General features: G+C 39.7%; 1 protein-coding gene across 24 annotated transcripts in view; it reads left to right on the top strand.

Moving 5' to 3' along the window:
- Nucleotides 1-14,345, top strand: part of ZHX3 (zinc fingers and homeoboxes 3) — a 139,277-nt gene that overhangs the window by 34,592 nt on the left and 90,340 nt on the right. For 13 of the 24 annotated variants that reach the window (NM_001384317.1, NM_001384325.1, NM_001384320.1 and 10 more), the window contains exon 2: nucleotides 14,057-14,150. The exons of 1 other annotated variant lie outside the window; for it this stretch is intronic. The gene's annotated coding sequence lies outside the window, so the exon portion shown is untranslated. Of the gene's footprint in view, nucleotides 1-10,883; nucleotides 10,937-14,056; nucleotides 14,162-14,345 lie in introns of those variants that run through there. 10 more of the 24 variants (NM_001384316.1, NM_001384318.1, NM_001384321.1 and 7 more) reach the window with 2 other exon arrangements.

Below are 14,345 nucleotides of genomic sequence, written 5' to 3'. Positions count from 1 at the left end.
CTCAGGAGTTCAAGACCAGCCTGGGCAACATAACAAAAACCCTGTTTCTACTAAAAATACAAAATTAGCTGGGCATGGTGGGGTATGCCTGTAATGTCAGCTACTTGGGAGGCTGAGGCATAAGAATGGCTTGAACCCAGGAGACGGAGGTTGCAGTGAGCCAAGATCATGCCACTGCACTCCAGCCTGGGCGACAGAGCAAGACCCTGTCTCCAAAAAATGAATAAATAAATAAAACAATAAAGAGTTGTGAAAGCCTTTGGTTATGCAGTGAATTTTTAGTGTTATTACGTGTACCAGTCTCTAGCTGATCAAAATAATTATCTTTAGGAAATGTTAGAAACAGACATGAGATGTCATGTATTTTATTAGATTCCTTGTTTGCCCAGTTCAATTTCATGCAACGTACCTGGGTTTTAGACTTGATATTTGGCCACCATTTAAAGGTGGACTTCATTAGAGGCATCGAAAGATGAATCGTGGGCTGGGTGCGGTGGCTTACGCCTGTAATCCCAGCACTTTGGGAGGCCGAGATGGATAGATCACAAGGTCAGGAGTTCGAGAACAGCCCGCCCAACATGGTGAAACCCTGTCTCTACTAAAATTACAAAAAATTAGCCAGGTGTAATGGGGCATGCCTGTAATCCCAACTACTCAGGAGGCTGAGGCAGGAGAGTCGCTTGAACCCTGGAGGCGAATGTTGCAGTGAGCCAAGATAGCGCCGCTGTTCTCCAGCCTGGTGACAAAGCTAGACTTCGCAAAAAAAAAAAAAAAAAAAGATGAATTGTGTCTAATGGACCTCTAAGACATTACTTCTCCAGTGTTAAATACGCATAAAAATATGTGGTTGAGGAAGATTGTTACTTGGTAGAGAAGATGAGAAGTTAAGTGATTGCCTTTGGCATTTGCAGCATACCACAGGATCTAGAATTTAAATGAAAAATTAGTCTCGAGCTCAAGCACTGAAAGGGTACTTAATATTTTTTTGACAGCTTGCTGATATATTTATTTTCTGGTCTTCTTCATCTTGGGGTAAATGACATCTTCATGGACTTAGTTGTTAAAGTCAGGAACCTGGGAGTCATCCTAACAACTCTGTCCCTCATGCCCAATCCACAAGAAGGACTACCGATTCTACCTGTAACACATAGGGAATCCATCTTCCCTGCCAGCACCCTAATGTGGGCCACTGTCATCATAGCCCAGGACTTCTGCAATAGCCTTCTGCCTTCTCTCTCAGCTGCTACTCACTCCCATCCACTCTACATTTCAGCCAAAGTGATCTTTTTGGAAACATAAGTCAATTATGTTACTCCCCTGCTTAAAACTTTTAAATGGCTTCCCATTGCACTTAGGATAAAATGTTTAAACACCCATCACTGTTTGCAAGGTGATATGTGACATGGCTGTGGACTAATTAACCTCATGTTGTGCTCGCCTCCATTCACCACCATCCTTCCAGTTCCTGGAGGAAGTCATCCTTTTATTTGAACCTAACTTTCTCTGTAAGCATCAAAATTTAATTACCATCTATGGTTCTTCCGCAAGTAAGAAAGATTTTATGTCTGCTACTCTTTCCTACTCCCAGCTATTTTTCAAAGTTTTTCATTAATTTTCTACATTATATCTTTTTTCTTTCAATAATTCTTATTAGCAATTGCACTTCACCTAATGTGTATTTTATCGATAATTGTGGAGTAGAGCTTTAAACCTATTTCTTTGTTCAGCACTGCTTCTTGTATCCCAAGTCATCTTTTATTTCTTGGATTCAAATTTAATTTGCTACAGTACACCTTTGAGTCTCTTCCTACTTACCCCCAGAGTACACAGTGGTGAACTTCATGGAGCAGTTGTATATACCCAAATAACTTTATTTTGCCTTCATACTTAAGTAACAGTTTTAGGGATATATGAGAGTCTATGCTTAAAATTATTTTTCCTTTTAAACTTTGTAGAAATTGCTTCATTTGTGTTTTAGCATCCGAAATTGCAGATGAGAAGTCTGGTGCAAATACAATTTTCCTTTTGTTACAGTTAGCATGCTTCCTAACTGTAGCATGTTCCTAGATTTCAACTTTATTTTGTAATTTAAAAATTTCACCAAGTTACATTTACTTTTTTTCAATATTGTTATACATCATGTAAACTTGGCAGACCCTTTCAACCTAATGCTCAGATCTCTTTAACTCAGATCTGTTTGGTCCTATTATTTCTTTGGTAATTTCTTTTCCTCTGTCCTCTCCTTTAAAAAAAAAAAGGGTTAGACATATTGGATCATCTAGATTTATCCTCCTTTCCCCTCTCATTTCCCATTTCTTGGTTTGGGAGAATTCATCAGTTTGATCTTCTAAATCACTACTTTTGTCTTTGGTTATGCCCCTTTTGCTATTCAGACCTCTGTTGAAGGATTAAGAAATTTTTTTGGCCTGGTGCAGTGGCTCACGCCTATAATCCCAGCGCTTTGGGAGGCCGAGGTGGTTGGATCACTTGAGGTCAGGAGTTTGAGACCAGCCTGGCCAACATGGTGAAACCCCGTCTCTACTAAAAAAAACAAAAAACAAAAAAACAGAAAAACATAGCTTTGTTTTTTTATTCCCCACTAATAACTTTTTAGTATTGTTCCTCTCCCTTAGTATCTCCATAGATCTTTGAAATGGTATCTTAATAGATCTTTCAGAGAATACTACAATTATTTTCTGCTTCCTTTGCTGTTTTTATTTGTTATTACTTAAGGGCACATTAAATTATCTGGAGAATATTTAAATACAAATGCCTAGATCCCTCTTCCCTCTATAAATACTGATTCAGTTGCATTGCGGTGGGGCCCAGGCAATTGGTATTTCTAAAAAGCTCAGCAGATGATTCTGATGTGCATCCAGGATTGAGAACTCTTTGTGTGATCCGAGTGGTAACTGTAGTGGGTTCTCTCAGCACAAGTGGGAATTATTCTTCCAGAAGTAAATTCAGAGTACAGGAGTGCTGGTCCTGCTAAGTACCAGGGATATACGTCCAGGGATTCAGTCAGCTGCCTTCTGGGTGGGTGTGTGCATTGTCATTTGTGGTGCTGTTTCTTCATTCTGTAGTCCCAGCGCCTGTGTGGGTGGTTCCCCCACAGCTGATCCTCCACTTTATTACAGAGAGCTGTTCTCACACCTTAGCCTTTCTGAGAACACTGGAGGATGCAGCTGTTCCATAGGCCTCTAATTATTCTCCTGACAGTCCTGGGCTCACTTCTACTTCTACATCCAGCTTCACTTATCTCTGAATTTGAGTTTGTTCCCCCCTAGGGTTCTATGGTTATATTCACAGTTTTAGAGTTTCCTTCTTTTGCTTGGTTCAAATTGAAATTTCCTTTACGTCTTAGTATTGCTGTCATTCAGTCAGTCCTGATGGCATTTCCCCTCCCTTTGGCCCAGAAGTCCTCATGCTATTCTGATGGTGTCTTTCCTGTTTATCCTGTGCTGCTGTGAACTTATTACTCTTGTATTTTTATAATATATATTCTTTTAATAAGTAGTCTTTTATATTGGTCATTTTAAGAGAGGGGAGAAGTACATTCTAAGTTAATCATTATTTATGATGAACAAGAAGTCCTCAAATACTTTTTGGTTACTTCTGAAAAGTATCAGACATTCAAGGAATTTAGCTGTCTATTTACAGAAGAGGAACTTGAGGTGGTTTAACCAGATGAAAAACTACTTCATTCTGTTAGTTAAAAAAAAAATGCATTTAAAGTTGTAAGATACTGTTTTTCATGTATCAAATTAGTGAAGTGTGTTTTTGTGTGTATGTGTGGAGCGGGGGTTGTGGTGGGGAGTATATAAGGGGTGAGGATTATATATGAGAAAGAGAATTTAATGCTAACAAGGATGTAAAAGTATAGACATTCTTATATACTTCTTGTGGAATGCAAAGTTGTACAATACTCAGTGCAGTTTGGCAATATGGGCCTTTAAAACTTTCATACTCGTTGACCCAGGATTCAAATTCTGGCAGTCCATCCCAAGGAAGTAATCATGGGTGAAGACAATAGTTTATTTACAAAGATGTTATAAAATAAACAGTCTGGGTGCAGTGGCTCACGTCTGGAATCCCAGAACTTTGAGAGGCCGAGGTGGGCAAATCACGAGGTCAGGAGATTGAGGCCATCCTGGCTAGCACGGTGAAACCCTGTCTGTCTCTACTAGAAATACAAAAAAATTAGCCGGGCGTGGTGGCGGGCACCTGTAGTCCCAGCTACTCAGGAGGCTGAGGCAGGAGAATGGCATGAACCCGGGAGGCAGAGCTTGCAGTGAGCCCAGATCATGCCACTGCACTCCAGCCTGGGTGACAGAGGGAGACTCCGTCTCAAAACAAAAACAAAAAAAAACTGTGCAGAGAAAAGTAAAAATTAGCAGCAGTGATTGTTTCTATGATTTGAATTATGTGAATTTTTTCCTCTATAGTCTTATACTCTTCTGTATTTTCCATATATCTACAATAAGTATATTCAGGAAAATATTGGCATTATTTTCTAAATTGCCAAGCTGTTCCACAAAGAAATATGAATGGCCGCTAATCACATGAAAAGATTTAACCTCAGTAGTAATAAAAGATGCAAAGAATGCTCAATAACATGAGAGATGTTTATCAGACCTATATTTAAGTGAGAAAAAATACCAATATGTGCAGTATGATCCCAGTATGGTTAAAATTGTGCATGTGCATCAGAATGTTGACAGTGCTTATCTTTTGGTAGTGGATAGTTTTGGCTTACATGAGCTTTCCCCCAACTATAATCTTTTTTTTTTTCCTTCAAGACAGGGTCTCTCTCTGTCACCCAGGCTGGAGTTACAGTGGCACAATCTCTGCTCACTGCAACCTCTGCCTCCCTAGTTCAAGCAGTTCTCCTGCCCCAGCTTCCCGAGTAGCTGGGACTACAAGTGTTACCCCCAACACCCAGCTAATTTTTGTATTTTTAGTAGAGATGTAGTTTCACCATGTTGGCCAGGCTAGTCTCGAATTCCTGGCCTCAAGTGATCTGCCCACCTCGACCTCCCAAAGTGTACAATCCCAGGCGTGAGCCACCACACCCAGCCTCCCCTAGCTATAATCTTCTCTACTTCTTTGTATTTTACAGTTTGCTTTTATTGAAAGTGTATTGCTCTTGTAATCAGGGGAGTTTTTTTTCCACACTTAAATTAATCTTTCCATCCCCTACACTATACTTTCTGCATTTAAAACATGCTTAAAATATTTGACATGGAGGGGGCCGGGCGTGGTGGCTCACGCCTGTAATCTCAGCACTTTGGGAGGCCGAGGCGGGCAGATCACGAGGTCAGGAGATCGAGACCATCCTGGCTAACATGGTGAAACCCCGTCTCTACTAAAAATACAAAAAATTAGCCAGGCATGGTAGCGGGCGCCTGTAGTCCCAGCTACTCAGGAGGCTGAGGCAGGAGAATGGCATGAACCCGGGAGGCGGAGCTTGCAGTGAGCGGAGATCACACCACTGCACTCCAACCTGGGCGACAGAGCGAGACTCTGTCTCAAAAAAAAAGAAAAAAAAAATTAACATGGAGGGTAGGGCAAGAGAAATTTGAGAGAATTCTCTGTGTAATTCAGTCTTAAGAATTAATTGAACTCAATATAAATTTATATACTACTTTGAAGAGATTTATGTTTGTTTAAAGAGGTATATTTGAGTGTATCAAATACTTTAAAAATATACCTTTTTCTCAAAATATTAGCCACGTAGATGCAACATGATGGAAAACTGACTTCGTGCCATTAAAAAATGTTACAAAAATGTTTGTGTCATTTTAAAAAAGTATATAGTTGAATAAGTTTGTTTCTTTTGTAAGAGATAGGGTCTTGCTATGTTGTCCAGGCTGACCTTGAACTCCTGGGCTCTAGCAGTCGTCCTGCTTCAGCCTCCCAAGCAACTGGGACTACAAGTACACCCCACCTTGCCTGGTAAACTTTTTGTCAAATGTTTATACTCATGTAAACACCACTCCCAATCAGTATACAGAACATTTTTGCCACTCTAGAAAAGTTCCTTCCTCATGCTGTCTTGTCTGTCTTCACCATTCAAAGGTAATTTCTATTGTGATTTTTACCACCAGAAATTTTGTCTTTTCTAGAACTCCACATTTTATTTTATATCTAACTTATCTTGCTCACCATGCTTTTGAGATTTATCCATGATGTGTGTTAGAAACATACTCCTTTTTCTTGCTGAGTAGTATTCTATTGTGTGAATATCACAATTTTTAAAATCTATTCTTATGCTGACAGGTATGTAGGATGTGTCCAGGTTTTGGCTATTTAAAAATTGAGGATAGTTTGTAGCTATGTCATAAACCCCAGTGTGCTTTCTTCCTCCTTTTTCCTGTCTAGCAGGGCTTGTGAAGCAAGCACTTGCCCTGCAGTTAAGGGCATGTTTCCAGGCGCTTATAACTAAGACCACCACAAAGAGAACAGAAAACAAAACTAAAGTGAGCCCGCCAAGTCCCAGGCGGACGCCTCAAGAGTTCAGCTCTTGGGCACAGAACGGCAGGCCTGCAAATTAACTGAAAACTCCCTTTACAGAAAGAAAAAAAGAGCTAAGCATTGAGAGAGCTCGGGGAACCCAATTAGAGACCCAGAGAGCTACTACCACATTGGATCAAATCACAGCAGTTGTTTTGAGACCGAGAGGTTATTCAAAACGCTGAGCCTTGACTATACTGAGAGTGAGGCAGGGCGCTTCCTCTCCCCAGCAGCCTTGCAGCAAATTTCCCAAAGTGCCTTATCTGGGCTCCCTTTTACAGAGGCTTCAGGCTAAGGAGTACTAGGATATACTCTTAAAGTACTTCCCTGACTGCTTTTCCAACATGAGCTACATTTAAAAAAAAGAAAAAGAAAAACAGACTTTTAAGGGTGGGGTTGGGGGACATACTTGATAACTGGAAAACAAAAAAAATCCCACAGACTCAAGTGGCTATCATACATTCAGGTATTGAGCATACTCCCTAAGAACAGGAATTCTCAGCTCTGGGTTTGAGGGGCCCAGGATGCCTCTTTCTGTGACAGACAGGGCACAGCATCTCCTCTCCTATCTCATTCCTTGTAGAGTTCATTTTCCTCTATGCCACCACCAACCAAAGAGAATGTGGCCTTTATCCTGTTTCTTCGGACACTGCCTCTGTATCCAACCCATCCTCTGAATCTTTGTTTGTTTAGTGTTTTTATAAATTTATTTTTATTTTTTGTATTTCTTCTGTCCTCTGAATCTTCACACAGAGTTCAGGTTAACTGAGTGCAACTAGAGCTGAAGAAATGGAGAGGGAGAAGTACAGTCATTCAGTTAGCGTGTTGAAGACACTTTTAGAAGATGGGAAATTGTGTGAGCCCTAAAGATAGGACCCTCATCAGGCAGTGGTAAGACCAAAGAATAGGAAGTCCTCTCCATCTGCCATGTTAGAAGGGCTTTCCAGTTCTGGAAGAATTTGTGGCAAAACTCATGCCATGAGAGTGAGTCTCCTACGGATGTTATGCTGACCAGCCTTGCTCACTGTGCTGATTGCTTGGCATCAGACTCAGCCAGCAGGAGTCCACCCTATGTCTATCCTAACCCAGTTCTCGTCATCACTGGACTGTTGTCTATCTTTTGCGTCACTGCATCAGGTTTTTACCTGGTTACCTTCTGGGCCCCATTTCTTGCCTGGGCCTATTTTTTTTTCCCTTGCCCTCTTCAACTTAAACTTCCTGGTGAAAACAAAAAATAAACATTGACTCAGAAATTCAAATTTTACGTTAGCTAACATGCTCTGCCAAAGCACTGACCCTGAGCACCTGCCAGATGATATTTTTATTGCTTTTAGTTTCATTATAGATCGCAAAATATATGGAATTGGATTTCTTTTTCCTGCGATTTGGTGCTGGTTTATTTCAACAGATGGTATTTTCTGACTGAAGGTATTTATAAACAGTTTGATTATTTCTTTTCTTTTTTTTTGAGACGGAGTTTCACTCTTGTCACCCAGGCTGGAGTGCAATGGCACAATCTGAGCTCACTGCAACCTCCGCCTCCTGGGTTCAAGTGATTCTCCTGCCTCAGCCTCCCAAGTAGCTGGAATTAACAGGTGCCCGCCTCCACGCCCAGCTAATTTTTGTATTTTTAGTAGAGACAGGGTTTCACCATGCTAGCCAGGCTGGTCTCAAACTTCTGACCCCAGTTGATCCACCTGCCTTGGCCTCCCAAAGTGCTGGGATTACAGGCATTAAGCCACCGCACCTGGCCCAGTTTGATTCTTAAGATCCTTTCTGATGTTGCTGGATCACCTTGGACTATGAGTTTCATGTAGCTTATACATTGACAGGAGGTGCAAACTGAAACTTTGAAAAGTTGACACCAAACATCACTACTGAGGCAATCACTGCCCCTCACTCAGACTCATAATCTACTGGTTTCAAATGAACCAGTATTTATTTTAGGGGAATATATACTTTCCTTGCAATTGCGAGTCTTAGAAAACTCCACAGTGATTTTTCCTGGGTTATTGTGTTATCTTCAGTTCTAATTTTGATGTGTGAGCAAAAAACAGATTGTATCCAGCTCAAGTTACCTTTATAATATCAAGTGATTGTTCTCTCACAGACTTTAGCCAAAAATTTTTAAAGACTTGTAAAACCCTTCCTCTCCAACCGACACCCTGTCCAACTACAGTTGATACTTTAAGCTCTGACTCTCAAGCTTCTGTGAGCAAAATCTTTGGCGAAGTAGCTAATGTGACATAATCAATTTGGGGGGATTTGAACTACATGAAAAAGAGTTCCTGATACTGTTCTGCGAAGTCTGTTAAACAACTTAACTCTTATCAGTGAACAAATAAGCTTCGTGCATCTCTGTTCCTCTACTGGGAACTGAAGATAATGAAACTTAATTATAAATCAGGAAAATGAAAATCCTTAAGTTCTGACCTTTTCCATAGCCCAAAGCAAACAAAACAGACGTTACATAATTTACCTTCATTCTCTGGAGTATGAATTTTGGATTACCAATGGCAAGTATAAACTTCATATTTGTGACATACTCCAGGATATTAGTAAATTACCATAGCGATACAGACAGCTAAAGAAGTTAGTGTATCACCTTATCAAGGACATTTTAAAATAACCTTAAAATTACATCATAGAATGGAAAGACATCCATGGATTAGAATACTTAAAGATGGCAATACTACTCAAAGTGATGTAAAGATTCAGTGCAATCTTGACCAAAATTCCAGTACCTATTTTTGCAGAAATAGGAAAGCTGATCCTAAAATTCATATAGAATTGCAAGGGACCCTGAATAGTCAAAACAATCTTGAAAAAGAAAAACAAAGTTGGAGTATTCATGCTTCCCAATTTCAAAAGATACTACAAAGCTACAATAATCAAAATAGGTATAAGCATAAGAATAGACATATAGATCAGTGGAATAAAACTGAGAGTCCAGAAATAAACCTGTACATCTGTGACCTTTGAGAACAGTGCCAAGATGATTCACTGGGGAAAGGACAATCTCTTTAACAAATGGTGCAGGTACAACTGGTTATCTACATGCAAAAGAATGAAGTTGGACCCCACACATATTAAAATTAACTCAAAATGGACCAAATAACTAATTATAAGAGTTAAGACTATAAACTCTTAGAAGAAAACATAAGGGTAAATCTTCATGACCTTGGATTTGGTAATGGATTCTTAGAAACACACCAAAAGCACAAGCAACGAAAGAAAAAATAGACAAATTGGATGGCATCAAATGTTAAAATTTTGCAGCAAAGGATGCTATCAAGTAAGTGGAAAGGCAACCTGCAGAATGGGAGGAGATATCTGCAAATCTGTTAAAAAACAAACAAAACAAAACGAAAAACTCTTAACAACTGAACAACAGAAAAGATAACCCAATTAAAATATGGGCAAGGGACTTGAATAGACATTTTGTAAAGATATGCAAATGGCCAAGAAACATATGAAAAGATTTCCTGGGTCATTGGTCATTAAGGAAATGCAAATCAAAGCCACAATGATATACCATTTCACACCTACTAAGATGTCTATACTTTAAAAACAAAACAAAAACAAAATTACAAGCATTGATGAGAATGTGGAGAAATTAGAACCTTGTACTTTGCTGGTGGGAATGTAAAATGTTGAAGCCACTGTGGGAAACAGTGTAGTAGTTCCTCAAAAAGTTCCGTATAGAATTACCATATGACCCAGCAATTCCACTCCTGTTTATATGTCCAGTAATTGAAAACAAGTATCAGACAAATACTTGTACACTCATGTTCATGGCAACACTATTCACAATAGCCAAAAGATGGAAACAACCCAAATGTCTATCAATGAATGAATGGATGAGCAAGATGTGCATCTATATACAGTGGAATATTTTTCAGCCATAAATTGGAATGAAGTACTGATGCATGCTGCAATGTAGATGAACTTTGAAACATTATGCAGAGTGAAAGAAAGCCAACCGAAAAGGTCACATATTGTTTGATTGCATTTTTAGGGAATATCCACAAGAGGTAATTTTATGGAGACATAAAGCATATTAGTGGTTGTCAGGAGTTGGAGGAGGAGGAGGAGGAGGAATAGAAGTGACTGCTTAATGAGTACAAGGTTCATTTTGGGGTGATGAAAATATTTCATCAGTAATGTAAGGTAATGGTAAATGTGATGGTTGCATGATACTGTGAATGTGCTAAATGCCACTGAATTGTACATTTAAAAATGGTTAATGTTATATGAATTTTCAATTTTTAAAATTACATCATATAATTTCTGTGATCTCACAGATAACTGTGGCTTTGCTGTCATAGTTACCTTGTGACTGTTGGAACCCATGTGCTTTGTACATTGGGAAGTTCTTTCCAGCTCTGGACAGGAAAACATGAAAACAGATGATCCCAAGGAGGTTTCTCCCTAAACTAACAATTAAAGAATATAGTTTTACTTTTTCATTTTTATTTGTTGAAACTGGTAAAGCTTCTACCTTGAGTGGGTCTGGGTTGTTTTAAAATTTATCAGACCACATTGGTCTGATATTGTTTCCTTCATTTAATTTGAAAAAGCTTGTTTAAAATAACTATTTGGAGATGGAATAATTTTTTGGTTTTATGAAAATTTAAAGGAATTGTAAAAGAATCTAAGACATACTTATGGAATTGCAGTCAAGTTTTTCTGGTGATTTTGTAAGCTACACTCCTAGAGATTTTTGTAATACTTTCTAAAATCATTTCAATTTTTTTTTTATTGTCAGTGACCTTGGTGTCAGGAATAAGAAAATTGTATTCAGATCAGTCAAGCAGAGCCTGTGCAAAAACGAAAAACATTAATTTTTTATTTGTATCTCATCTGTTTTGTTTTTCGAAGGAGGAGCTTGAGGCTATATTCTGGCAAATGATCTGAGAAGAGCGTCTTACTCAGAAAGCTAGAAGTGTTTTGCCAATTATTATGAAGCTTTTTTTTTATGAATGAGGCTGTTGCTTCTGGCCCACAGTCAGTGCTGTTTTTGGAGACTTTTTTCTCCAGCAAATGTTGTCTTCCACACTCCTACCTGCTTCCTCTTATGATCCAAAATATGCCATCCAGACTAAAAATCTGTAGATGTGAAGCAAACAAAGCTAACTGGTTTATAGTGGATTGAACCCATAGCTTTTGGCATCATCTGAATCAACCAATCAACTGAACTCTAATGCCTTGGTTGAGTAAGGGTGTTGCAATTTTAAAGTTAGAAGGGATCTGGCAAGCATAGGAAAATATCTATCATGCTGGCTATTTTTCTAAAAAAAACTTTTGTAGGCTGGGCATGGTGGCTCACGCCTGTAATCCCAGCACTTTGGGAGGCTGAGGTGGGTGGATCACGAGGTCAAGAGATCGAGACCATCTGGCCAACATGGTGAAACCCCGTCTCTACTAAAAATACAAAAATTAGCTGGGTGTGGTGGCGCGTGCCTGTAGTCCCAGCTACTCAGGAGGCTGAGGCAGGAGAAATGCTTGGACTTGGGAGGCGGAGGTTGCAGTGAGCCGAGATAGTGCCGCTGCACTCCAGCCTGGGGACAGAGTGAGACTCTCTCTCAAAAACAAAAAACAAAAATACTTTTGTAGAGACTGTGGTCTCACCCTGGTGCCCAGGTTGGTCTTGAACTCCTGGCCTCAAGCAATCCTTTTTCTCAGCCTCCCAAAGGATAATTTTCAAAAAATAAGCAAAGATGAGGTTTAAGGTAGGGAGAATTAGAAGTTGTTTCTCAGTAAATTATTAATAAGGAGAAATTTTCAAGAGCTAATTCAGTAGACATTGAGCTACTTTAGGCATACCAGGACAGAAGCAGAAAAAGTGAAATAGATGGATGAGACTGTAGCTTACTGCACAGTTATATTTGCCCAGGTACCCCTGACTATGAACAGCAGCATAGTGCATAATACTTTTTTTTTTTTTTTCTGAGACGGAGTCTCACTCTGTCAACCAGGCTGGAGTACAGTGGTGTGATCTTGGCTCACTGTAAGCTCCACCTCCCGGGTTCACGCTATTCTCCTGCCTCAGCCTCCCGAGTAGCTGGGACTACAGGTGCCTGCCACCACACACAGCTAATTTTTTTGTATTTTTAGTAGAGACAGGGTTTCACCGTGTTAGCCAGGATGGTCTCGCTCTCCTGACCTCGTGATTTGCCCACCTCGGCCTCCCAAAGTGCTGGGATTACAGGTGTGAGCCACCGTGCCCGGCCTTTTTTTTTTTTTTTTTTTGGACGGAGTTTCGCTCTGTTGCCCAGGCTGGAGTGCAGTGGTGCGATCTCGGCTCACTGCAACTGCTGCTTCCTGGGTTCAAGTCTTCTGCCTCAGCCCCCTGAGTAGCTGGGATTACAGGCGCACACCACCATGCCCGGCCATTTTTAGTAGAGACGGGGTTTCACCATGTTGGTCAGGCTGTATCAAACTCTTGACTTCGTGATCCGCCCGTCTCGGCCTCCCAAAGTGCTGGGATTACAGGCGTGAGCCACCGTACCCGGCCTTAACATAATGCTTTTCTTTAGGTAATTTACCTAACAAGTTTCCTTATCTGGGTGATTAGAATATAGAATCAACCTCATAGCATCATTGTAAGGATTGGATTAATGTATTTAAAGATCTTAGAACAATCCCTGATGCAGTGTAAAGCTAGATATGTGTATGTTAAAGACATAAGATGCTGGTGTTAAGAAGTTAAGCCACTTGGGTGAGGGATTTTTTTTTTTTTGAGGGGCAAAAAAAATGTGTACATTCATGGATGCTCGTAGTCATGATGCTCTAGTCATGATACACTAGAGTCTAGTGTACAATGCCTACACGTCTGTTGGAAGTTCTGAGACCTTCTGGTATACTCGCTTTGGGACCATTTTACTGCTAATGGGCATCTCAATCAAAGATAATTCTTCAAGAAAGAAATAAGAACTCAAAAGTAGTGGTTTTACAGCTGTTTCCCAAGTAATTTTAAGATCCCATGAAGCATCTCTGGTTGTCTGTTGAAAACATAGTTACTGTCTCATTCATTTACCGAAAGTGCCATGATGAAATAGGGGTAATAATGGTCAGAGACAGAGATGAAAACAGTTCCTTGGCCTGGAACTCACAGTCTGAGCCATTTTTGTGCCTCTAGAATCCACACCAGGAAAACCCGAATGGAAGAACATCAGAAAATAGCACATCCTTGAAGTTACAAAGCAACACATCTGTTAGTATTATTTCTGCCAAGCTGTCTCAAACTTAGCTGGGAGAGAGACATGGAAACTCATTGGTGGAAAGAGCGTTAAAATTACAGATTTTGTTCTGATCTGTTATCAGAGACCATTGAGTTTGCTTTATTTCTACTAGGAATTTTAATAGTTTCAAATTGCTAGTTTGTATTTTGATAACCTCTTTTTCACCTTTGTCTCACTGGTTTTTCTGTTTATGTATAGTTCTAGTGCGAATGAATTAGGAAGGGAGACTGATGAGATTGGATAACTCAGCCTCCTAAAATGTTTTCTCATAAAGTGATGATGTGCTGCTTCTTTTATAGGACTGAAATGCAACTGCAGAAGCAACATGTGACCTTTTAGAGATGCTTGTGGGACTGCATAAAGTGAAGAGGGAAACTGGAAAAAAACAATGAAGTAAGGAAAAAGTATGTTTCTTGGGTAAATAGCATGCTTCTGAGTTTTCACAAGTTTCTTGCTACATTAATTACCACAACTTTGTAATGCAGAAGTCTTTATATTTAGTCTTCGCATTGCTATTAAACATTATTTTCTCCTCCCTTGTTTTTTATTGCTGAAGTCTTTGATCAAATGATTCTTTTTTGGATTAAT

The sequence above is a fragment of the Homo sapiens genome, chromosome 20, assembly GCF_000001405.40.
Source record: "Homo sapiens chromosome 20, GRCh38.p14 Primary Assembly".
Lineage (NCBI taxonomy): Eukaryota > Metazoa > Chordata > Mammalia > Primates > Hominidae > Homo > Homo sapiens.
The sequence above is the reverse complement of the archived record's forward strand: the minus strand, read 5'-3'. Positions and strand labels throughout refer to the sequence as shown.